This window comes from Homo sapiens, chromosome 12 (genome assembly GCF_000001405.40).
Source record: "Homo sapiens chromosome 12, GRCh38.p14 Primary Assembly".
Classification (NCBI taxonomy): domain Eukaryota; kingdom Metazoa; phylum Chordata; class Mammalia; order Primates; family Hominidae; genus Homo; species Homo sapiens.
In genome coordinates, this window is record NC_000012.12 from 94,414,051 (window position 1) to 94,437,393 (window position 23,343).

The 23,343-nt window shown below is 38.8% G+C and overlaps 1 protein-coding gene and 1 pseudogene across 35 annotated transcripts in view, besides 3 other annotated features; both read right to left on the reverse strand.

The window, feature by feature from the left end:
* CEP83 (centrosomal protein 83) overlaps positions 1 to 23,343 on the reverse strand; it is a 194,793-nt gene that overhangs the window by 148,389 nt on the left and 23,061 nt on the right. For 15 of the 35 annotated variants that reach the window (NR_160431.1, NR_144441.2, XM_017019386.3 and 12 more), the window contains exon 2: positions 21,225 to 21,277. The exons of 19 other annotated variants lie outside the window; for them this stretch is intronic. The gene's annotated coding sequence lies outside the window, so the exon portion shown is untranslated. Of the gene's footprint in view, positions 1 to 19,952; positions 20,004 to 21,224; positions 21,278 to 23,343 lie in introns of all 35 variants that reach the window. One more of the 35 variants, XM_011538424.3, reaches the window with a different exon arrangement.
* Positions 9,418 to 11,100, reverse strand: RBMS2P1 (RNA binding motif single stranded interacting protein 2 pseudogene 1; annotated as a pseudogene).
* Positions 11,947 to 12,511: an enhancer, noted in NCBI's record as "NANOG-H3K27ac hESC enhancer chr12:94819773-94820337 (GRCh37/hg19 assembly coordinates)". NCBI's record gives its function as "activates a minimal SCP1, AML or CMV promoter by ChIP-STARR-seq in primed H9 embryonic stem cells {active_cell/tissue: H9 hESC(primed)}" and the evidence as "EXISTENCE:reporter gene assay evidence [ECO:0000049][PMID:30033119]".
* Positions 15,644 to 15,693: an enhancer, noted in NCBI's record as "active region_6783". NCBI's record gives its function as "activates an Ori minimal core promoter by ATAC-STARR-seq in GM12878 lymphoblastoid cells {active_cell/tissue: GM12878}" and the evidence as "EXISTENCE:reporter gene assay evidence [ECO:0000049][PMID:35858748]".
* Positions 21,454 to 21,503: an enhancer, noted in NCBI's record as "active region_6784". NCBI's record gives its function as "activates an Ori minimal core promoter by ATAC-STARR-seq in GM12878 lymphoblastoid cells {active_cell/tissue: GM12878}" and the evidence as "EXISTENCE:reporter gene assay evidence [ECO:0000049][PMID:35858748]".

Genomic DNA, 23,343 nt, shown 5'->3' on the forward strand with positions numbered 1-23,343 from the left:
CTATAATTGCAGTTGTTTTGGTTTCCTCTGAAATTATATTTTAATACAGAGGGAAAAGTCCCTCAAGAACACTATACTCCTTACTCTTAGATTTAACACGCACTGGGATTCAATCTTTGTAAATACAGAATGCGCTATCTGTAGCAGCTACCACAAAATTATCCTGCCAAAAGTACACATTTGCCAAGGAATTAATGAATTGCATCATAAAACTGGCATTCAATTTTTACTCTACTGTGGGTAAAATGCTATCAAATAGAATCTCATGCTCCAAAGAAATCTTTCATGAAAGGAAGAGTCAACTGATGTGGCAAACTTCACTGTTGTCTCATTTTAAGAAACTGCTACAGCCATCCCAACCTTCAGCAACCATCTAAATAGTTAGCAGCCATCAGCAGAAAGGCCAGACCCTTCACCTGCTAATAGATGATTACTCACTGAAGGCTCAGGTGATCAATAGCATTTTTTAGCAACAAAGTACTTTCCAATTAAGGTATCTACATTTTAAAGACATAATTATATTGTAAACTTAACAGACTACAGTATACTGTAAACATAACTTTTCCATGCACTGAGAAACCAGAAAATTCTTGTGACTTGTTTTATTGCAGTAGCAATCCAAATAAGTTAAAATAAGGAAACACTAATTCCTAAATGTAAGTTTAGATTTACTCTTGACTTCTAAAGCTTTACAGGAAGAAAAAATATTTGGGGGTTAATAAATATGTTTGGTTCCACATTAAAAATTATTCTGTGGAAAAAATACATTTTTAAAGATTATAAAATGTGTCTTTATAAAATGTTGATATGTGACAGCTCAAAATTGCTTACTTCCTAGGTTTTCACTAAAAGTTAAGATTACTAAGATTTAACTAAAAATTAAGATTGCTAAGAGTTAAAATTCTAGTTAATACATAGAATTCTGTATGCAAAGGGTACAAGAAAAAAACAAAATTTGTTTTTGGTGAAAAAAGTGTTTTAAATGGCATAAAAATGTGTTTTTATTTAAAAAGTAATTTGTCTAATTCAGAAGTTATTGAAAGATTATTTCAAAATATGAATTTGGAAAAACATGAAAACAAGGCAGAAAGGAACAAGTGAAAAACAGACACAAAAAACTATGAGAATGTATTTTTGGTAAGAAAAGAGAATGACAGTAATTTTTGTATAAAAAAACTTATGTGGTTGAAATGATAGAAAAAAAGGGAAGTAAATTTTTGTCCTAAGGTAAAATGATTGTTTCAGTATAAACAAGAGAAATATAAGACAAAACTAAAGGACTGAGCAAGCTGTAGAAGGTCTGGGCAAATTATGAAAGGTTTGTGAGAGATGAATCTTATGAAAGAAATTTTATTTGTGAACAAATTGGCTAAAATGAAAAGTAAATTGTTTATAGGTTTGTCTTAAAATTGAGTCCTCATATCAAAAGTACACTGATACAACACTAAAATTTGATCTTCTCTTTTAAAACAAGATTTTCTTATTGATTGCTCTCAATGAAAAAATAATAAAAGTAGATTTTAAAAGGCAAAAAACCCCCACTATTTAAAATGGAGAGAGAAATTAATAATGATAAAGGTTAAATACACCAGAAAGATGTGACAATTTTAAATTTACATGCACTTACTATGGCCACTAAATAGTAAGGCAGAAGTTGTCAAAACTATAAGGAGAAATAGACAAATTCACAATGATAGGAGGAGAATTTCACCACTATTCTTGGTAACTAATGGGACAAGAAGATTTAAAAAAATAATCAGTAAGAACACAGATAATTTAAACAACACAATTAACCATGCTGACCTAACTGACATATGGAAGACTATACCCTGTAACTACAGAATACACACTCCTCACAAGTATACACATAACATTTATAAATGTTGACCACATGCCAGGTATTTAAAAAAAATTTCAAACATTTTAAAAGACCAAGATCATACAAGATACCTTCTCTGACCACAATGCTATTAAACTAAACTCAATACAAAAAATAATCAGAAAAGCCACATATGCTTACAAAGTAAGAAATACATTTCTAAATAACTTATGAATCAAAGAAAAGGTCAAAATAGAAATTAGAAAATATGTAGTACTAAATGAAAATTGATACTCCATTTTAAAACTTATGGAATAAAGGTTTCTACTTTGAGGAAGATGGAACAGATATACATTTTCCTTTTATACTCATTAATATAACTAAGAGTCCTGGATTTAGGTATATGACAAACGTAAGACTCTGAATAATGGAGACTAGAAGGCTGACTAGCTATGGACCTGAGAATGTAAGGACAAATACAGTGGTGAGTTTATTTCCCTGGGTTTTCTTTTTCATATATCTCAGACACAGAGCTGAAGAAACTGGCAACCAGGAAACACCAATTAATTCAGACAAATAAGTCTTGAACAAAAAAGCCTACTCTCTAGCCAAAGGAACAAAAAAGAGGGAGCCTAGCAAGATAATATGTAGACAATTACAATCTACTCTATCCAAATACCATACACACACACACACACACACACAAAAAAAAAAAAACTGTAGTTCCACCCCCATCCACACAAGCAAAGATTAGGTGGAAGCCAAGCTAGGCTGTAATAAAATACCCTAATACTGGGCCAAGATGGTGCACAAGAAGGCTCACCAGAAAACAGAAACTTCCATTGCTTCCTGAACCGTAATAAAGCTCAATGATCCTGCAATGTCAGAGGAGACCACATGGAAAACCTAAACTTTCACCCCCCACCAAGAGTAACAAAGAGGACCTCCCTCACCCCACTGAAATGCTGGCACAGAAGGCCTAGTGGAGACTTATGACAGGCAGAACCACCAACAGTAATGAGGCTACCCTCTCCAGGGTATCAGGGAAGATCACATGGGGAGCCAGAACTACAGCTACCTGGCAATAACAAAGACCCCTCCCGCAACCCCCCTCCCAAAAAAAACTAAGGTGTCAACAGAGGCCATCTTAGAAACCTCGACTTGCTAGGCACTATGGCTTGTGACTGCAAATCCCAGCCACTCAGAAAGTGAGGTGGGAGGATTGGTTGAGACCAGGAGTTCGAGACCAGCCTGGGCAACACAGTGAGACCTTGTCTCAAAAACAAACAAAAAAAAGTCATTAGCTAGGCATGGTGGCATGTGCCTATATGCCCAGGTACTTGGGAGGCTAAGGTAGGAGGATTGCTTAAGCCCAGTTCAAGGCTGCAGTGAGCTATGATTATGCCACCACACTCTAGCCCAGGCAACAAAGCAAGATTCCCACCTCTTAAAAAAAAACAAAAACACAAACAAAAAAACCTTGTACTTCCATCTCCACCTGGCAAAAACAAGGTAGTATGCCCTCTTTCCTCTACCAGAAAAGTGTCAGAAAAAGCCAGCTAAAACAAAAAGTTTAGATAGAATCCACAATATTATAATATCCCAAATGTCCAAGTTTCGATAGAGAACCACTGGTCGGCCAGGCACAGTGGCTTACACCTGTAATCCCAGCACTTTGGGAGGCCGAGGCAGGTGGATCACCTGAGGTCAGGAGTTCGAGACCAGCCTGGCCAACATGGCAAAACCCCATCTCTACTAAAAATACAAAAATTAGCAGGGTGTGGTGGTGCACGTCTGTCATCTCAGCTACTCAGGAGGCTGAGGCAGGAGAACGCTTGAACCCAGGAGGCAGGGGTTGCAGTGAGCTGTGATCACACCACAGCACTCCCGCCTGGGCAACAGAGGAAGACTCCATCTCAAAAATACATACATACATACATACATACATACATTAAAAAAAGAAATCCACTGATCATATCAAGAATGAAGATTTCAAACTGAATGAAAAAAGATAACAAGCCAACACTATGATGACAGGAATGTTATGGTTATCTGACAAAGACTTTAAAGCACTGATGATAAAAATGCTTAAACAAACAATGACAAACAAGCTTGAAATAAATGAAAAGAGGGTCACAGCAAAGAAATACAAGTCTCAGAAAAGAAGGTAAAAAGAAGAACCAAGTGGAAATTTTAAAACTGAAAAATACGGCTAAGCCTGGTGGCTCATGCCTGTAATCCTAGCACTTTGGGAGGCTGAGGCAGGTGGGTTACTTGAGGCCAGGAGTTCGAGATCAGCCTGGCCAACATGGTGAAACCCTGTCTCTACTAAAAACACAAAAATTAGCCAGGTGATGTGGCATGCGCCTGTAGTCCAGCTACTCAGGAGGCTGAGGCAGGAGAACTGCTTGAATCTGGGAGGCAGAGGCTGCAGTGAGCCAAGATTGTGTCACTGCACTCCAGCCTGGGTGACAGACTGAGACTCTGTCTTTAAAAAGAAAAGAAAAAAATACAATGACCAAAATAAAAATATTAGATGAGCTCATCAGCAGAAATAGAGAGGAAGAGGAAAAGAATTAATGCACTGGGAAGATACAACTACAGAAATTACTCGGCTGAACAATAGACAGAAAATAGACATACAAAATAAATAAGCAGCTCAGGGACTGTCAGAACTAACAAAAAATACCTACCATTCCTGTGCTTGGTGTATGATTCCATTTATATGAAATATCCAGAATAGATAAATACATAGAAGGTAGGCTGATGATTTCCAGGGACTAAGGGAATGGGGAAATGGGAGTTGACTGCTTAATGGTTACAAGGTTTTCTTTGATGTGGTAAAATGTTTTGGAACTAGATAATGGTAGTTGTTACGCAATGCTGTGAATGTAATAAATGCCACTAAATTATATACTTTAAAATAGTTAATGTTATGCTATATTAATTTCACCTCAATAAAAAAAGAGAAAAATAAACCTAGCAAACTAGAAACTTAAAAGTGCATCAATCTCATCAAAGGTGTATATAAAAAGAGTATTTTAAAACACCACACCTGACTTTAAAATCTTAAAACATCTTTTTCTGAGAGTGTGATCAAAACAAGAAAGTCCATTATTGCTACTTTTATTCAATATTGTATTGAAGAACTAGAACAAAACAAAGGAATAGAAGGTATAAAAACTAAAAAAAAAAAATCTTTATATACACATGTTCTGATTGTGTATGTAGAAAATCTAAACAAATTTACAGAAAAATAATTAGAAAAAGCAAGTTAGCAAGATTGGCAGATAGAGCAATATACAAAAATTAATTGCATTCCATATGCCAGCAACAAAATATTTTTTATTTTTTTCAATAGTGATATTCTTTAACAACAATGTATGTTTAAAGACATTCTTAATAATATAAAAAATATCAAAAACCTAGGTAAAAAGATGTGCAAACTATTTATTATAGGAAAACTGTGGCTAGCTACTGAAACAAACTAAAAAAGACCTAATAGAGATATGGACTAGGTGTATGGATTAGAAAACATTCTAAAGAGACAAATTCTCCCCAATCTACAGATGATGTGATATCAATTAATATCCAAATGAGTGTGTCTCTATGTGTGAGAAACTTAACATGCTGATTCAAAAATTTATGTGGAAATACAAAAGACAGGCCAACAACAGTGGAAATGATTTTAAAGAAAAAAATGAGAAGACTTTACTATATATCAGTACTTACTACAAATATACAGTAATTAAGATGGTATAGTATGCCATTGGCTTAATTATAGACAAAGAGACCAATAAAACAGGACACAGCCCATAAACTGACCTACCCATATAAGATAATTTAGAACAAAGGTGGTTTTGCTGAACCGTAAGGAGAAGAGAGTCTTCAATAAAGGCCACTGGGACAACTAGATAACCTTGTAGAAAAAAAGAAACTTGCGCCTTTCTTTTTATTACACACTAAAATTAATTCTAGTTGGACTGAAGATCTAAATGTGAAAAGCAGAAGCACAAAGTTGCCACAATATAGGAAAAAATATTCAGTAACTCAAGGCAGGAAAAATAGCACGTCTAAAATCTAAAAGGTGATTCCCAGATAAATAATGAGACCGAGCACCTTTTCTTTGTTTACTGGCCATTTAGATATCTTCTTTTATAAAATATCCATTTGCATCTTTTGCCCAATTTTTTCTATTGAATTGTCTTTTCAATTACTAATTTGTAAAAATTATTCATAATATTTAAATCTCAATGAGAAAACCAAAAAGACTGACGATAAGTCTGGAGAGGAGAGGAAGCAAAGGTTGTAGTGTAAACTGGCATATTCACTTTGGGAAAAAAACTAGCATTATCTACTAAGGTTAAAAAAAAATACATATACTATGACTCAGTAATTCCTCTCCTGGGCATATATCCACTTGAAATGTGGTATACACAGGTCCACAAAAAGATTTATATGATACTGTTCATAGCAGTATTATTCCTAACAACTGAAACCTAGAAACAAATCCAATGACCATCAACAGTTGAAGAAACGAATAGTGGTATAATGGAACTAGCACTATACTGCAATAAAAATAAGCTATAGATCAAGTTTGTCCAACCTGTAGCCCATGGGCCACATACAGCCTATGATGGCTTTGAACGCAGCCCAATACAAATTCATAAACTTTCTTAAAACCTTATGAGAGTTTGTTTTGCATGGTTTTTTTTGTTTTGTTTTGTTTTTTAGTTCATCAGCTTTCGTTACTGTTAGTGTATTTTATGTGTGGCCCAAGATAATTCTTCTTCCAGTGTGGCCCAGGGAAGCCGAAAGACTGGACACCCCTGCTATAGATACTCTATATATATAGGGTGAATATTACAGACATATTGTCCAGAAGAAGCCAAACATAAAAGAATATACACTAAATTATTACAAATAGATTATTACAAATATATAAAGTTTAAAAATTAAATACAAGCACTATAGTATATAGGGGATACATGCTTAGGTATAAGCATGTATAAAGAAAGGAACTATATTATCATTAAAGTCAGGAAAATATTACTTGATGAGGCTAGTAACGTTCTACTTCTTGATTTTTGTGGATATATGGAGGTTTGCTTTGTAACTTGCTTTGTAAATCACTCAGCTGTACATTGTTGTGTACTTTTCTATATGTATATTATAATTCATAATTTTTTTTGAGACATTCTCATTCTGTCATCCACGCTGGAGTGCAATGGCATGATCACAGCTTACTGCACCATCAATCTCCCAAGCTCAAGTCACCTCAGTCTCCCAAGTAGCTGGTACTACAGGCACATGTCATTAGGCCTGGCTTTTTAAATTTTTTTTATTTATTTTAATTTTTATTTTTATTTTGTAGAGACAAGGTCCCACTATGTTGCCCAGGCTTGGCTTGAACTCCCACACTCAAGCCATCCTCCCACCTTGACCTGCTAAAATGTTAGGATTACAGGAATGAGCCACTGCAACCAACCTTATAATTCACAATTTTTTAAAAAGGGACTTAGAAGGGAGAGTAATTCAAAAATTGGGCTCAGCATCATGTCAAGGACTGTAGTCCTTTTCATTTTTCTTCCAACAAATCCTGTTGGCTTAATTCTCCTCATGGTTGTGAGGCTACCACATGGATATGTAATATTCATTTTTTAAAAATTTATTCTACTATTTCTCCTTTATTCATGTGCTTGTTTATAGTCCTTTAAGTAAAATTTACACATAATGAAATGCACAAATATTATCTCCATGCATCACTTAACAAGGATATGCTCTGATAAACTCATTGTTAAGTAATTTCATTGTTGTGTGAACATCAAAGAATGTACGGTACTTACACAAACCTAGATGATATCGCCTATTATACACCTAAGATATATGGTATATAGCCTATTGCTTGTAGGCTACAAACCTGTACAACATGTTACTGTACTAAATATTGGAGGCAACTGTACAAAATGAAGTAGAGGTTCCTCTTCAAAGGGACTTTCCTTCCAGTCTAATTGAGAATAAATAGTAGCCTCTCTTAGAAGCAAAATTTACTCAAAGACCTGTGGTAATATTCTTAAATATCTGCTAGCCATAATAAAGAAACCAATATGCTTTGTGTGCTTAGCCCCCACCTTTTGGCCTAGATATTTGCCCTGGCATGCCTATATAGGCCCAAGCAAGCATTAGGTTATAGCCTGTTTCTCTTCCTTATTTGGAGGTGTTTTGGCCTTTCTCAGCATTCCACAAGTTACTTCCTCCTTTCCTTTGTTCTCCCCTACCTTTACCTCTTTTGGGAGGTTCTAAGTTGCTAGCCAATCAGGACAAGAACAGAATGTGAAGTCCCGTTCCAGCCAATGGAAACTGGACACAGCCATAGCATGGACGCATTAGATTATAAATGACCCTGTCTCCTTTGTTTGTATGTGCTCTCATGGCAAGACTGCTAGTGAGTGGCACCCTTTCTGCAGAAAGTAAATTAGCCTTGCTGGGAGATCCTTTATCATAGTGTTGATTTCCGCGACACTGAATACCCATTTCCAACAGCAACTGTAACACAAATCACTAGGCAATAGAAATTTTTTAGCTCCATTATAATCTTATGGTACCACTGTTGTGTATGTGGTTATATGCAGCACATGAATGCACACAATTTCATGAGTTCACAAAAGGAAGAATTCAAGAAAGCCTCAATTTCATCAAGATATAAAACAGTCCCATCACTCCAGAAAGTTCCTTCATACTCCTTCCCCATCACCCCACCCACAAGAGGCAACCACTTTTGTGGTTATTCTCACCATAGCTCCACCTGATCCAGAACATATTAAAGTGAAATCATACAGTACGTACTCTCATGTATTTGCCTTGTTTCACCCAAATAGCTGTGAGATTCACCTATGTTTTTGTGTATCTCAGTAGTCTGTTCCTTTTTAAGGCTAAATAGCATTTCATCATTTAAATATAACACATATTGTTTATCCATTCTCCTGCTGATGCGCATTTGGTTGTTTCTGGTTACAATGAATATAGCTGCTATGAATATTCTTGTACAAGACTTTCTGTGGACACATTTTCAGTTTGGGGGTGGGTGGTGGTAAACATTTAAGAGTGGAATTGCTGGGTCATGGAGCAGGTTTATATTTAACTTTGTGTAAGAAACTGCCAAATCTTTTTCCAACGTGGTTGTACCATTTTCTATTCCAACCAAAAACATATGAGAATTTTTTTTTTTTTCTGAGATGGAGTTTCACTCTTGTTGCCCAGGCTGGAGTGCAATGGCGCAATCTCAGTTCATCACAGCCTCTGCCTCCTAGGTTCAAGTGATTCTCCTGCCTCCACCTCCCAAGTAGCTGGGATTACAGGCATGTGCCAGCACACCCGGCTGATTTTGTATTTTTAGTAGAGATGGGGTTTCTCCATGTTGGTCAGGCTGGTCTTGAATTCCCGACATCAAGTGATCCGCCCATCTCAGCCTCCCAAAGTACTGGGATTACAGGTGTGAGCCACCATGTCCAGCCAACATATTGAGAATTCTGTTTGCGCCACATTTTTCCCAATACCTTGTAGCTGCACCAGACCAATCTGGTTCAACTTTTTTTTTTTTTTTTTGCAAAAGAAAAAAAGTTTTTTTGATCTCCTTGAATGTAGCACACAAAAAAAGTGATGGCTCCCCCAGGCTCCATCAGCAACAGTAAAGGGCAGGAACATAGAGATTTCTTTTTCCAGGCCCAGGCCTGTGAAAAACGATGGCTAAGTGTTAGTCCTTAGCAGGGCCGACGGATGGTCTCCATTCCTGGTTAACCCTCTGGAATTTGGGAGCATGAGTATCTCCAAGAATTCATTTCTACTCAGTAAAGATGGGGAGGGGAATCCCACTGTTACTTGTTGAACTGGAAAGAATAGACCCCATGCTCTGAGGGTGTGTCCACTGCCACTTGGTTCTGTTGGCCGCTGCTCTCCTCGACTGAAACACTGGAAGGAAGGCACAGGGGTGTACTGGGAGATGTAAGCTCCTTGCATAGCTGCAGCCGTCAGCATATACATGCCTGTGCTGCTGAGGCAGAGATGGCCCAGTTGCTGGGTAAGGGGTCCCATCATGGAGGCAGGCTGGAGAGAAATGGGATGGTCCATCCCTGGTGTCAGAACTGAACCTGAAGGCTGCATGAGGTATGAATGGTGGTGCATCCAGGATGGGTTAGGTACTTGTAGAGGAGATGTCTGAGTCACTCTCTGATACGAAGACACAGGAGAGGAAAGGTATGGGGAGAGTGCAGACCGAGCAAGCATCCTGTTGGGGGTGATGTTATAAGGGGCTGGGTAAAACCCATTCTGAAGAGCTGTGGTGGGGTCATAGGTCAAGGCCATGATGCCCATGTCTCCATTCCTTGGCCAAGCCCGTCCATTTTGCACAAATATTCCTTGGTTCTGTCGTTTCTTTGGCCCGCCATCAGCAAATTTGCAAAGCAAGGGATCGGATGGGGCTGGTACTCCAGGGGGTGTCTTAATATATTTTCCATTAAAGTGGGTGATGATGGCTTCACACTTCTCTGTGGACTCCATCCTTGCAAAGCCAACACCTCTGCTGGTCCCACTGGTATCTCGAAGGATACGGGTGGAGATAACCTGGCCAAAGGGCTTCAGCATCCCCTCCAGTTCCTGCTCATCCATTGACAGTGGGAGGTTTGAGATGTATAAATTTGTGGGGTCCTGTTCCTGTTGCTTTACCATCTGTGCCTGTACACCACTGGCCTTCAGTGCTGTTACAGCTTTCTGTGCTGCTGAAGGGCTGTCAAAATCTACAAAGCCATAGCCTTTACATTTGTTTGTGGTCTTGTCCAGTACGGCCTTAGTGGAAACAATCTTGCCATATGGCTGACACAGCTTGACAAGATCTTGGTCAGTAGTGCCTGGTTGCAATCCTCGGATGTATAGGTTGGTTTTGCTCAGCTGGTCATTTCCATTGCTTCCACTACTGCTGTTAGGTGTACTGTTGCTTGGGCTAGGTGGTGCCATCTGCTGAGCCAATGACACATATGGCTTCTTGTTGTTTCTATTGTAGCCAAAAGTAGAAATCCCGGGCCTGGAAGTCACGGATAGCAGCATTTTCTCTTTAATGTTAGGGAACGAGTGAGAGAGAGAGAGAGAGAGAAAGGGAGGGGGTAAGAAAGACGGGGAGGGAGGGAGGAGGGGATCGAGGGAAAGGGGGAGAGGGAGGGAGGAAAAAAGGGAGGGGGAGGAGAAAGGAGGAGAAAAGGAGCAGGAGGAGAGAGATGAAGGGGGGCTGCCTCTGGTTCAACTTTTATGTAATAAATTGTGAGTTATTTTTCAGCTGCCATGGACCCTCAGCTCACATAACCTGAGCATGCTCAGATGAGCCAAGACTGCAATCTCAGGAGGAACCTAAGTGCTTGGACCAAGAAATGGGGACTGAATTAAGAAGCAGACATTGCATGGCAGGATCCAGGATCCAATCAGATCAAGCTCTGGCATCATCCCATGGAGGGATCCTGTCAGATCATGCCTCCAGTACCACCTCATTGCAAGATCCAATCAGATCATGCCTTGTTATCCTACACTTATAAAACCTGACTCAGGCCCCTGCTTTAGGAACTATCCCCATGTTCTCCTTACTTGTTGCAAGTAATAAAATCCTCATGCTAAATCCTCTTTGGTTGTGAGCACTGAGTTGATGATACCTGCCAAGCAACCAAACCCATCTGTCGTGTGGGTAATAATGTGATGTTGTGAGTCCCTTTAATTGTAGCCCTTCTAGGAGGCATAAAGTGGTATCTCCTTATGATTTTAATTTACGTTTTCCTGAAGCACTTTTTCATGTATTTAATGGCTGTTCACAGACCGTCTTAATCTATGAAAAGATTTTTGCTTTAAGAACCATCACAGCAAAGAATATTTATGCTGTAGCTGGCAAAATGGGAGATTTTAATAGCTAATGTGTATATAAGAAATGAAAACAGGCCAGTGCGGTGGCTCACGCCTGTAATCCCAGCACTTTGGGAGGCCAAGGTGGGCGGATCACGAGGTCAGGAGCTTGAGACCATCCTGGCTAACACAGTGAAACCCCATCTCTACTAAAAATACAAAAAAAATTAGCTGGGCGTGGTGACAGGCGCCTGTAGTCCCAGCTACTCGGGAGGCTGAGGCAGGAGAATGGTGTGAACCTGGGAGGTGGAGCTTGCAGTGAGCCAAGATCACACCACTGCACTCCAGCCTGGGTGACAGAGCGAAACTCCGTCTCAAAAAAAAAAAAAAGAAATGAAAACAAATCTAAAATTTGTCTCATTGCACTAATTACCATTTAGCTTCCTGAGCACATACTGCTGTTTTCTACCGCCATGGCTTTGTAAATGCTAATTTCCTTGCTCAGAAGGCTTTTTCCATCTCTTTGTATTCTGATCTAGTGAATTCCTATTCAGCCTTCAAAACCCAGCTCAGGAATGCATTACTTCCTCCATGAAGTAAAGACCCTCCCAAATAGTTCATTATTCTGTGTTTTATCTTGCATTTTAGTATATACAACACATGGAATGTAACTTTGTCCATGACAAGAAACATGTCTTACTCATGTTCATAATCCCAACACCTAAAAAACCACAGGCACATATTAAGAGCTCAAAAATAACAAATGAACAAATAATGTGCTCACCATTCTAATGCTACTTTAGCCTCGATTCACTTTTCTCCTCCAAATTCAGAAACAGTCTTCCAAACAATAGTGGGCTGAATGCTAGCCCTCAAAATATGTCATTTCCTAATCTCTGGATGCTATGAATATTACCTTATATACTTTTAAAAAAAGGGTGGGGTGATTAAATTAAGGATCTTAAGAGGAGAGGCTTATGCTGGATTATGTATCCAAAACAATCACATGTATCCTTCTAAGAGAGAAGGAGAGGGAGTTTGAGACTGAAGAGGAAGAGGCAATGTGACCACGGAGACAGAGACTGGAAAGATGTAGCCATAAGCCAAGGAAAACCTACAGCCACAAAAAGCTGGAAAAGGCAAGGAAAAGATTCTAACCCAGAGCCTTCAGAGGGAACGTGGCTTGGCCAACAACTTGATTTCTGACTTCTAATCTCTAAAATGTTGAAAGAATAATTTTTTTGTTGTTTTGAGACACCTATTATATGGTAATTTGTAACAGCAGCCACAAGTAACTAATACAATGGCTTTCTCTTGTATTTATATTTACTTATAAAAAGGTTTATCAAACTCAAAATTTCTAACACAATTTTAAATTCCTACCATGGTTAGACTTCTTTGATTTCAATCAGTCAATACACAGCTATCAATTATCTGCAAGACACTTACACATACATTAGATGCTTGAAATACACAATAAAACGTCTCCTACTGTGCAGTTTACTAAATACAGAAATTCATATTGAAAATTTTTTAAAGTAAAGTACAGAGTTCAAACAGCAATAAGTGAAAAAAAGTGAAACATTATCTCGATTGGCCTGTTAATCAGTGAGCACTTGTTGGGCTAGTCTCAGTGAAAGGCAGTTTTTAAAAGACTAGTACAACCTTTTTCCAAATTCTTCATCTTCTCTTTGCAACCATTACAAATACATAATCACATCCACGTGTCCTTCCTACCACTTCTTTTGACTAGTCCCAGCTTTACAGACCTCCATATGACATTTTATTTTGCATAGGCACTGTATTTTTTAAGCAGTGAGTAGTACAATGTCTGCCCCAAAGTATGGTAATTCAAAATATTCAAAAAAGCACAGCTGCTGATGCTCATGGAAAGCTTCCAAAACACATTCCATTAAAAGCACATGCTATGCCTTTGAATATTTCAAAACAATGTTTTAAATACTACATGCCCTCAAAGTGAATGATGTTTTTTAAAAAACAACATTAAAAGTCTAGGGAGGACCTACACCAGGCATTTACTTTACTTATAAACAAAACATTAGAAATGAATTTCTTCAAAATCCAGAGATAATCCTGCACTAGTCACCCAAACAGCCTTTGGATAGCCATCCAGGATGTCTTGCGTACAAAAAAAAAGTCACAACTTGACGCCCTGCCAGAACCTGAAGTGCAGCTGGGAGCAGACCCTTCAAAGCCCTGGTAAGGTGCCAGGCTCTGTAATTGTGATTTAGAAAGAAACAAGGGAGAGCAAGGAATGAGAAAAGGAAGAAGATATGTATTCAAGTGGTTAGCAATCAACCACCAAGCACTCTAAATTAAAATGTTATTCTATTTTTACGATTGTACTGTCTGCCTCTGCACAGCTTAATTCACACAAAAGAATCTAGAAAGTAGGACATAGTAATGACTCAACCTCAAATGCTTAGTGTAAATTACCAAAGTCTCTGAAAGTTGTGATCTGAAAGGCAAAGATGATTCTTGTCCAAATTCATTTTAACATTTCTTAATGTAAGGTCTGTTACAATAACATGGGGACTTTCCAGAAGATTTATGAGCACTTAGCACCTCTGTGTGAGTTGTATATTCTTCTTTGCTCACAGTCCCACCTTTCTTCTGAAATAGAAAAGGCTACCCATAATATGGCTGCTAATACACAATAAAGATTATCTACTGATGCAACAGCATATCCTGAAAATTGTTTTTTAAATAAATCCTGATTTAATTTTACTTCTATGAGATTTATGCCGTAATCTGAAAAGTTAAAGAGAAATTGATACTTAAAACTGAGTTTAACTGATATTTTACTGCAGTTAACACAAACATTCTCTTCATTATTTTGAATCTGTCACAAAGCAAGTATAAAATTTTTCACAGCCAGAAAAAGGAGATAAATAAAAGCCATCCTCAAGACACACAGGTTAATGTTAAAACCATATACTTTAAAAAACTGATTAAACAACCAATATTTATTAAGTGACTGCTATACCACATTTACTGAATGGTCTACTTACAGTAAAAGGGTTTTGAGAGATATAAAAAATATACAGACCATCAAGTCAAGCACACTTCTCATGAGGAAAGAAGAGCCTGCCCATATTCAGAGTACTCCATGGATATTTTCTAAGTACCTTTAATATGCTAGACACTTTGTTGGATACAGGAATACAGAAATAAATAAAAGAAAATCCTTGTCCTCAAGGAGTTTATGATGGTCAGTGGAATATACTTGTTAACCAACAATTGCTGACTGAATAAGGATGAGAGAAAATGGACTATTTAAACTTTCTGGACTTAAAATTTTTTTACCATGTGCACATATTACCTATACAAAGTCATAAATTCAGGAAGTTTTTAAATTGTAAAACATTAAGGAATTCAACAAAGAGGTGACAGGAAACACCTAAATCAAGGAAAGAGAGAGAAGTGAGGCAGCCTGCTTATCCGAGATTAGCTAAGAGCCTGGAGAGAATTCCCAGTCAGGGGAAAGGGTAAATGAGAGATGCCCAGGGGTCCACATTCCCACCATGGATACTTGCAATCCTAGCCACAGTAGAGGCCCTGGACCCTCACAGGCCCTGAAACTAACAAAGGGAACTGCATGAAGAGTGCACAACAGCATTGCTCCAGAGAGGGAGCTCACGCTGGGGCACACCAACCTCTCCACTCCCCATCCCAGTCCTGCAGCTATAGTAAGACACCATTTTGAGAACTCAGTCCCAACAGACTGCACCTTGTGCTTGGGCTTAACAGCACCTGTCTCTTCACATCCCTGGAGTCCCACTGACATACCCAGCCCACAGCTACCACCATGCCTGGTTCCTGATGCTGGGGCCAAAGTGCACGCCTCTGGCTCCAATCTCAGCCACTGCTTCCAGCAGTGGAGCCACCACTCATTTTCATGTGCCCAGAGTCCCTCACCCACAGCTGCCATCACTGTGCTACCAGGACTAAGGAATAAGCAAAGCATGAGCTTCCACTGCCCAGGCTAAAGCACAAGCCAAGCATGAGCTGCCACCACCAGGACTAAAATGTGAGTGAAACACAGGCTGCACCACCAGGACTGAAACACAAGCCAAGTATGGTCTGCCACCACCAGGGCTAAAATGCAAGTGAAATGCATGTTCCTAATACTTGCCTGCATATAGCTGGTATCACTGAAAGCAACTCTGCCCTCCCCAGCAGTAGGGCTGCAGCACAGACACTGCCTCTCACAACATGAACATTGTGCTGGGGGCCTAAGGATCACCCCACCCCTTCCTAACACAGCCAGCACCTATACGCACCACTGGGGAGTCTAAAGACAAGCCCACCTGGCCTCACCCACCCCCCATGCCAGAGCACACAATCCAGAGGCCTGGAGATCACACAACTCAGCCACCATTGGCAACTAAGGACTCTTCCCAGGAACCTGAGATTGGGCTCACCCACCCAGCTACTAACATCACAGCAAGAAAATATCATACCTCCAAAGGAACATAATAATTCTCCAGCAACAAATCCCAATCAAAAATAAATTCACAAAATTCTGGAAAAAGAATTTAAAATATTGATTTTAAAGAAGCTCAGTGAGATACAAGAGAATACTGAAAAATAACATAAAGAAATCAGAAAAACAATTCCTAGAATATGAATGAGAAATTTATGAAAAAGATAGGTATCATTAAAAAAAAAGAATCAAATTCTGGAACTGAAGACTTCACTGAGTGAAATACAAAATACATTTGAAAGCTTCAACAACAGACTAGATCAAGCAGAAGAAAGAATCTCAGAACCTGAAGATAGGTCTTTCAAATAACCCAATCAGACAAAAGGTAAAGAATAAAAAACAGTGAGCAAAGCCTTTGTGACATATGGGCACCACAAGGCAACTAAATATTCTCATTTTCAGAGTCTCATAAGGCAAAGAGAAAATAAAATGCATAGAAAACCTACTTAATGAAATAACAGATAAAAACTTCCGAAGTCTAGCAAGGGATTTAAACATCCAGATACAAGAGGCTCAGAGATTCCCAAATACAGTGCAGAAAGGTCTTCCACAAAGCACGTTATAGTCAAACTGTCAACAATCAAAGACAAAAAGAGAATTCCAAAAACAGCGAAATTCATTTCACCTATAACAACACATAGACTGAAAGTAAAGGGATGGAAAAAGACATTCTATGCAAACAGAAACTAAAAGGGAGCAGGAGTAGGAGTAGCTATACATATATCTGTTAAAACAGGCTTTAAGTCAAAAACAGTAAAAAGAGACAAAGGTCATGATATAATAGTAAGAGGATCAATTCAGCAAGAGGATAACAATTCTAAACATATATGCACCCAACACAAGAGCACCCAGATATACAAAGGAAACATTATTACACCCAGAAAGAAATCCACAAATAGCCATCTAATTTTGACAAAGGCACTAAGGACATACATTTGGGAAAGAATGTCCCCTTCAATAAATGGTGCTGGGAAAACTGAATATCCATATGCAGAAAAATTAAATTGGATCCCTACCTCTCACATATACAAAAATCAACTCAAGATGGATCAAAGATACAAACGTAAGACCCAAGACTATAAAATTACTAGAAGAAAACATAGGGAAAACACTTCAGGACATTGGTCTCAGCAAAAATAGTATGGCTAACACTTCAAAAGCACAGAAAACAAGAACAAAAATAGACAAGTGGGACTATATTAAACTAAAAAGCTTCAACACAGCAAAGGAAACAATCAACAGAGTGAAGAAAAAACCCACTGAATGGGAGAAAATATTTGCAAACCATTCACCTGACAAGGGACTAATACCTAGAATATACAAGAAAATCAAAACTTAACGGTAAAAAAAAAAAAGCCTCATTAAAAAGTGGGTAAAGGCCACAAACATTTCTCAAAAGAATACATACAAACGACCAATGGGTATATGAAAAAATTCTCAACATCATTAATTACCAGGGAAATGCAAATCAAAACCACAGCAACATATCATCTTATCCCAATTAGAATGGCTACTATAAAAAAATAACAACAGATGCTGGCAAGGATGTGGAGAAAAAGGGAACTCTTATATGCTGCTGGTAGGAATGTAAATTAGTACAGCTACTATGAAAAACAGCACGAAGATTTCTCAAAAAACTAAAAATAGAACTAGTATACAATCTAGTAATCCCACAATGGGGTATTTATTCAAAGGAAAAGATATCAGCATGTCAAAGGGATACCTGGACTCAGGTTATTGCAGCACTATTCACAATAGCAAAGATACAGAATCGACATAAGTGTCCATTAATGGATTAACTTTTTCTTTTTTTTTTTTTTGAGACGGAGTCTCGCTCTGTAGCCCAGGCTGGAGTGCAGTGGCGCGATCTCAGCTCACTGCAAGCTCTGCCTCCCAGGTTCACACCATTCTCCTGCCTCAGCCTCCTGAGTAGCTGGGACTACAGGCACCCACCACCACGCCCAGCTAATTTTTTTTTTTTTTGTATTTTTAGTAGAGACAGGGTTTCACCGTTTTAGCCAGGACAGTCTCAACCTCCTGGCCTCGTGATCCGCCCACCTCGGCCTCCCAAAGTACTGGGATTACAGGCATCAGCCACCACCCCTGGCCTGAACTGTTTTTTTTAAATGTGGTATATATACATGGTGAAATACTATTCAGCTATGAGAAAGAATGAAATCATGTCATTTGTAGCAATATGGATAAAGATGGAGATCATTACAATAAGTGAAATAAGCCAGGCACAAAAAGACAAATATCACATGTACTCATGTGGGAGCTTAAAAAAAGTTGATCTCATGGAGGTAGAGAATAAAATGATATCAAAGGCCAGGAAGTATGTGTGTGGGGGAAGGTGGGATAAAGGGAGGTTGCTTAATGAATACAGATATCCAGTTAGATAGACAATACAAGTTCTAATGTCGCAGAGCAGAGTACAGTTAATAATTAATTTGAATCATATATATTTCAAAGTAGCTACAAGAGAGGACTTTAAATGTTCCCAACATAAATGATAAATACTCAAGGTGATGAATACCCCAAGTACCCTGACTTGATCATTACACATTCTATGCATGTAACAAATACACATGTACCTCATAAATATGTAAACTATGTGCCAATTTAAAAAGAGAGGAACTTCAAAAAAATTATAAAATATTATAACATATTTACCAGTAGTATGAATGGACAAGGGAGAGAACCCTAATTCTGCTAGTGAAGCTGCCAGGGAAAACTTCACAAAGCAGCAGCTAAAATTAACAAAGGGATGCAAGGAAGAAACATCAAGTGCAAAATAATGGAGATTAAGGAGAAGAACATTAGTGGTGGAGGGCAGAGGAGAGGAGAACACCCTGGGGAGGTAAGGTAGGGCCTAGAAGGCCACATGCAGAAGACTGGAATTTATTCCATGGTCTTGGAGAGCCAGTGAAAGATTTTAAACTTTTAGATGGATAGAAGACATTACGGGGTAGACTCACATTTACATTTCAGAAAAATAAGTCGTTTATTTGCAGAGGATAGATTTGAGGAGGAAGAATAGAAGAAAGAGAAAAAGAAAAGGAGATCAAAGGTCCAGGAAAGTAATAATGAGGGCCTTAACTAAGACAGTAGCAGCAGGTAGTCAATAATCTTGAAAATTAATTTGAAGCCAGGCGCAGTGGCTCATACCTATAATCCTAGCACTTTAGGAGGTCAAGGCAGGCAGATGCCTTGAGCTCAGGAGTTCAAGAACAGCCTGGGCAACATGGTGAAAGCCTGTTTCTAAGAAAAATACAAAAATTAGCCCGGTGTGGTAGCATGTGCCTATGGTCCCAGCTACTCAGGTGGCTGAGGTGGGAAGATCGCTTGAGCCCAGGAGGGTCGAGGCTGCAGTGAGCCAAGATCGCACCACTGCACTCCAGCCTGGGTGACGAGGTGAGACCCTGTCTCAAAAAAAAAAAAGAAAAGAAAAGAAAATTAATTTGGGGGCAGCAAGAGCAGGAGTTAATAATTAGATACCTATACCCATCCCCCAGCAAAAAGTATTTTAATGTCACTAGTTAAAAGGCCTATCAGGAAACCAAGATAGGAAAGCAAAGAATAAACACTAAAATGGAATCCAGTTAAAGTGAAAGAAAGGTTGTTTCAAAGATTACAATTACTTCAAGCACTAATCCTACATAAGAATGAGGAATCCTGTACACTGACCTTTGGCAAATGAATCTTAGTAAACTGCAAATACCATCACTGTAAAACACTCAGAATAACTACCTTTTTTCCATAGGGATTTCATAAGCAGAGGGGCAAACTCTAAAGCTGGCTCTGTCGGGAACAAAGACATAAAATAAGGATTTTGTTCCTTAAATGTCCACCTGCTGCTACTCCTCCTCATTCTTTCCTTCAAACAAATCATCTCTATAGCAACACACTCTTAAAGAATTTGTGGGTGGAAAGCATATGTTTGTGCAAAAATATGAGAACTCAAGAACATGAGCTATTTTATTTTTTCCTTTAATACAAGAGATACACAATCTATTAGGATACAACTAAAAAATAAGAGATATGAAACAAAAAAATGTTTATACACAAAAAAATGTAAAAATTGTACAAATGATAACGCAAATGTTTACATGGAAATTCTTTTTATAGGTTACAATGACACCTTGTGGTAAGACTTTTCAAGTTATACAAATTATCTTAGAAAATATTTTTTACAGCAGAGACGTAAGAAAACCGGTTTAGAAAATAGGAAAGCTCAAAACCATAGTAATGAGTTAATGTGTACAAGTATAATAATACATTTGAAAAGTTAAGGTTGAAAAATCAAACTTTTAAAAATGTCACAATATTAGGTAGGCAAAAGCACTTTACTAACTGTAAATACAAGTTGAATATCCCTTATGTAAAATGCCTGGGACCAGAAGGATTTCAGATTTTGAATTTTTTCAGATTTTAGAATATTTGCATGTACATAATGAGTATCTTGGGGATGGGACGCAAGTCTAAACATAAAATTCATTTATGTTCCATATATACCTTATACATACACATAGCCTGAAGGTAATTTTATTTTTCCCTTGAAGGTGCTTAATAAACTGCGTGTTGTATGCCTGCATTTTGACTGCAACCCATCACATGAGGTCAGGTTTGAAATTTTCCACACGGTGTCATGTTGGTGTTCAAAAAGTTTCAGATTTCAGAGCATTCTGGATTATGGGATTAGGGATCCTCAACCTGTATAAAGCATTATACTAGTCCCTTCACTTGAACTGAAATTATTAAATACTCTTCCTTATTCTCTGGTCCCTTATTCCCATCTTGTAAGAAAAGTCAAGCTGCACCTCTCAAAGCTTCATCTATTACTTTATCTGAATGACACTGAAATTTGCACCCTAGTTCCTAACCTCTCTCTGCTTATGAATCCCCCTCTACTTACATGTTCTCTCTATAACAGAAGCTCAAAGATGGGATTTAAGACAGACTACCCAAAATATGGCACCTTGGCATTTGAGAAAAAAGCAGAAGCAAGAAGGTTTATCTCACCTTCCTCTAAAGTAGGTCATAAGATCCTCAATCCAGAGGTGTCCTCCCTATACCTGTAGGAGAGAAGACACAAAGAGGAATCTGAACAAACAGGACTTACTAAGTTTCCCCCAGTTTGTTACTGCTAGAGCATACCCATTTGTCCTCTAACGATACTTCTGCATGACTGTCCACAAAAAAACAGAGAGACAGACCCTTTGAAAAAAGCAGTTTACTGCTGCAAATGCCACAAGACAGCCAAAAAACTCCAAAGACAAAAGACATGAACTCTCGGGAGCTCTATGGGCCTGTCCATCATCTGAGAAACCCCAGTACTTATCCTGCCAATGCAGGGCAAGATTATATCCCCCTTCTACTACCGCAGCTGCTCCTCTCTTGAAATTGCCACTTCCTGACTGGAGGCCAACCAACTCAAGCCATTTCAGCAACTCCTAACAGAACAACTCTGTTCCAACGGAGAAAACAGCAGCTAATTCAACTGCCTGCAACTCCCTGGCTAATCAGAGGTCCTGAGTCTGTCCACATGACAACTTCAACCGCTAGCCTAACCAGCATTCACTCTCCTGCCACCTCCACTACAGCAGGTGCTGGTATCCACAGCTGGGAGACCTGAAGACAGATTATATCACAAGACAACTTGCAGACATTCGCCAGCACCAGCCTGGAGCCCAGTAACCCTGCTGGGTGGCTAGACCCAGAACGGTAATAACAATCACCTCAGTCTGGCTCCTAGGAAGCCCCATCCCTAGGGGAAGGGGGTGACTCCACATCAAGGAATCACCCTGTGGGACAAAAAAAAAAAATCTGAACAGCAGTCCTTCAGTTCTAGATCTTTCCACTGAAACATACAAATAAAAAGGAACCAGGAAAGTAATTCTGGTAATATGGCAAAACGAAGTTTGATAACACCCCCAAAAGATCACACTAGCTCTCCAGCAATGGATCCAAAACAAGAACAAATCTCTGAATTGCCAGATAAAGAATTTGGAAGGTTGATTATTAAGCTACTCAAGGGGGCACTAGAGAAAAGTGAAAAACAACTTGAACAAATAAAAAAAAAAATAAAAAACAGGATATGGATGAAAAAGTCTCCAGAGAAATATACATCATAAAAAAAAGACAACCACAACTTCTGGAAATTAAATACACACTTAGAGAAATGCAAAATGCACTGAAAAGTTCCAACAACAGAACTGAACAAGTAGAAGAATTTTAGAGCCCAAAGACAGGGCTCTCGAATTAACCCAATCTGACAAAGACAAAGAAAAAATAATTTTGGCTGGGAGCAGTGGCTCAGCTTATAATCCCAGCACCTCAGGAGGCTGAGGCAGGTGGACCACAAGGTCAGGAGATCAAGACCATCCTGGCTAACATGGTGAAATCCCATCTCCACTAAAAATACAAAAATTAGCCAGGCACAGTGGCGTGCACCTGTAGTCCCAGCTACTCGGGAGGCTGAGGCAGGAGAATCACTTGAACCCGGAGGAGGTTGCAGTGAGCCAAGATCACGCCATTGCACTCCAGCCTGGGCAACAGGGGGAGACTCCATCTCAAAAAAAAAAAAAAGAAAGAAGGAAAGAAAAAGAAAAGAAAAGAGAAGAAAAAATTATTTTAGAAAATGAATAAAGCCTCCAAGAAACTTGGGACGTTAAAAGACCCAACATAAGAATAATTGCTGTCCCTAAGGAAGAAGAGAAATCCAAAAGTTTAGGAAACTATTTGAGGGAATAATTGAGGAAAACTTCCCCGGTTTTGATAGATATCTAGACATCCAAATACAAGCAGCTTGGCCAGGCGTGGTGGCTCATGCCTGTAATCCAGCACTTCGGGAGGCCAAGGCAGGAGGATCACTCAAGGTCAGGAGTTTGAGACCAGCCTGGCCAAAATGGTGAAACCCCAACTAAACTAAAAAAAAAAAAAAATTACCTAGGCATGGTGGTGTGGGCCTGTAGTCCCAGCTACTAGGAGGCTGAGGCAGGACAATCACCTGAACCTGGCAGGTGGAGGCTGCAATGAGCCAAGATCGTGCCACTGCACTCCAGCCTGGGCAACAGGGCAAGACTTGGTCTAAAACACATACACACACACAAACAAATACAAGAAGCTCAAAGAACACCCA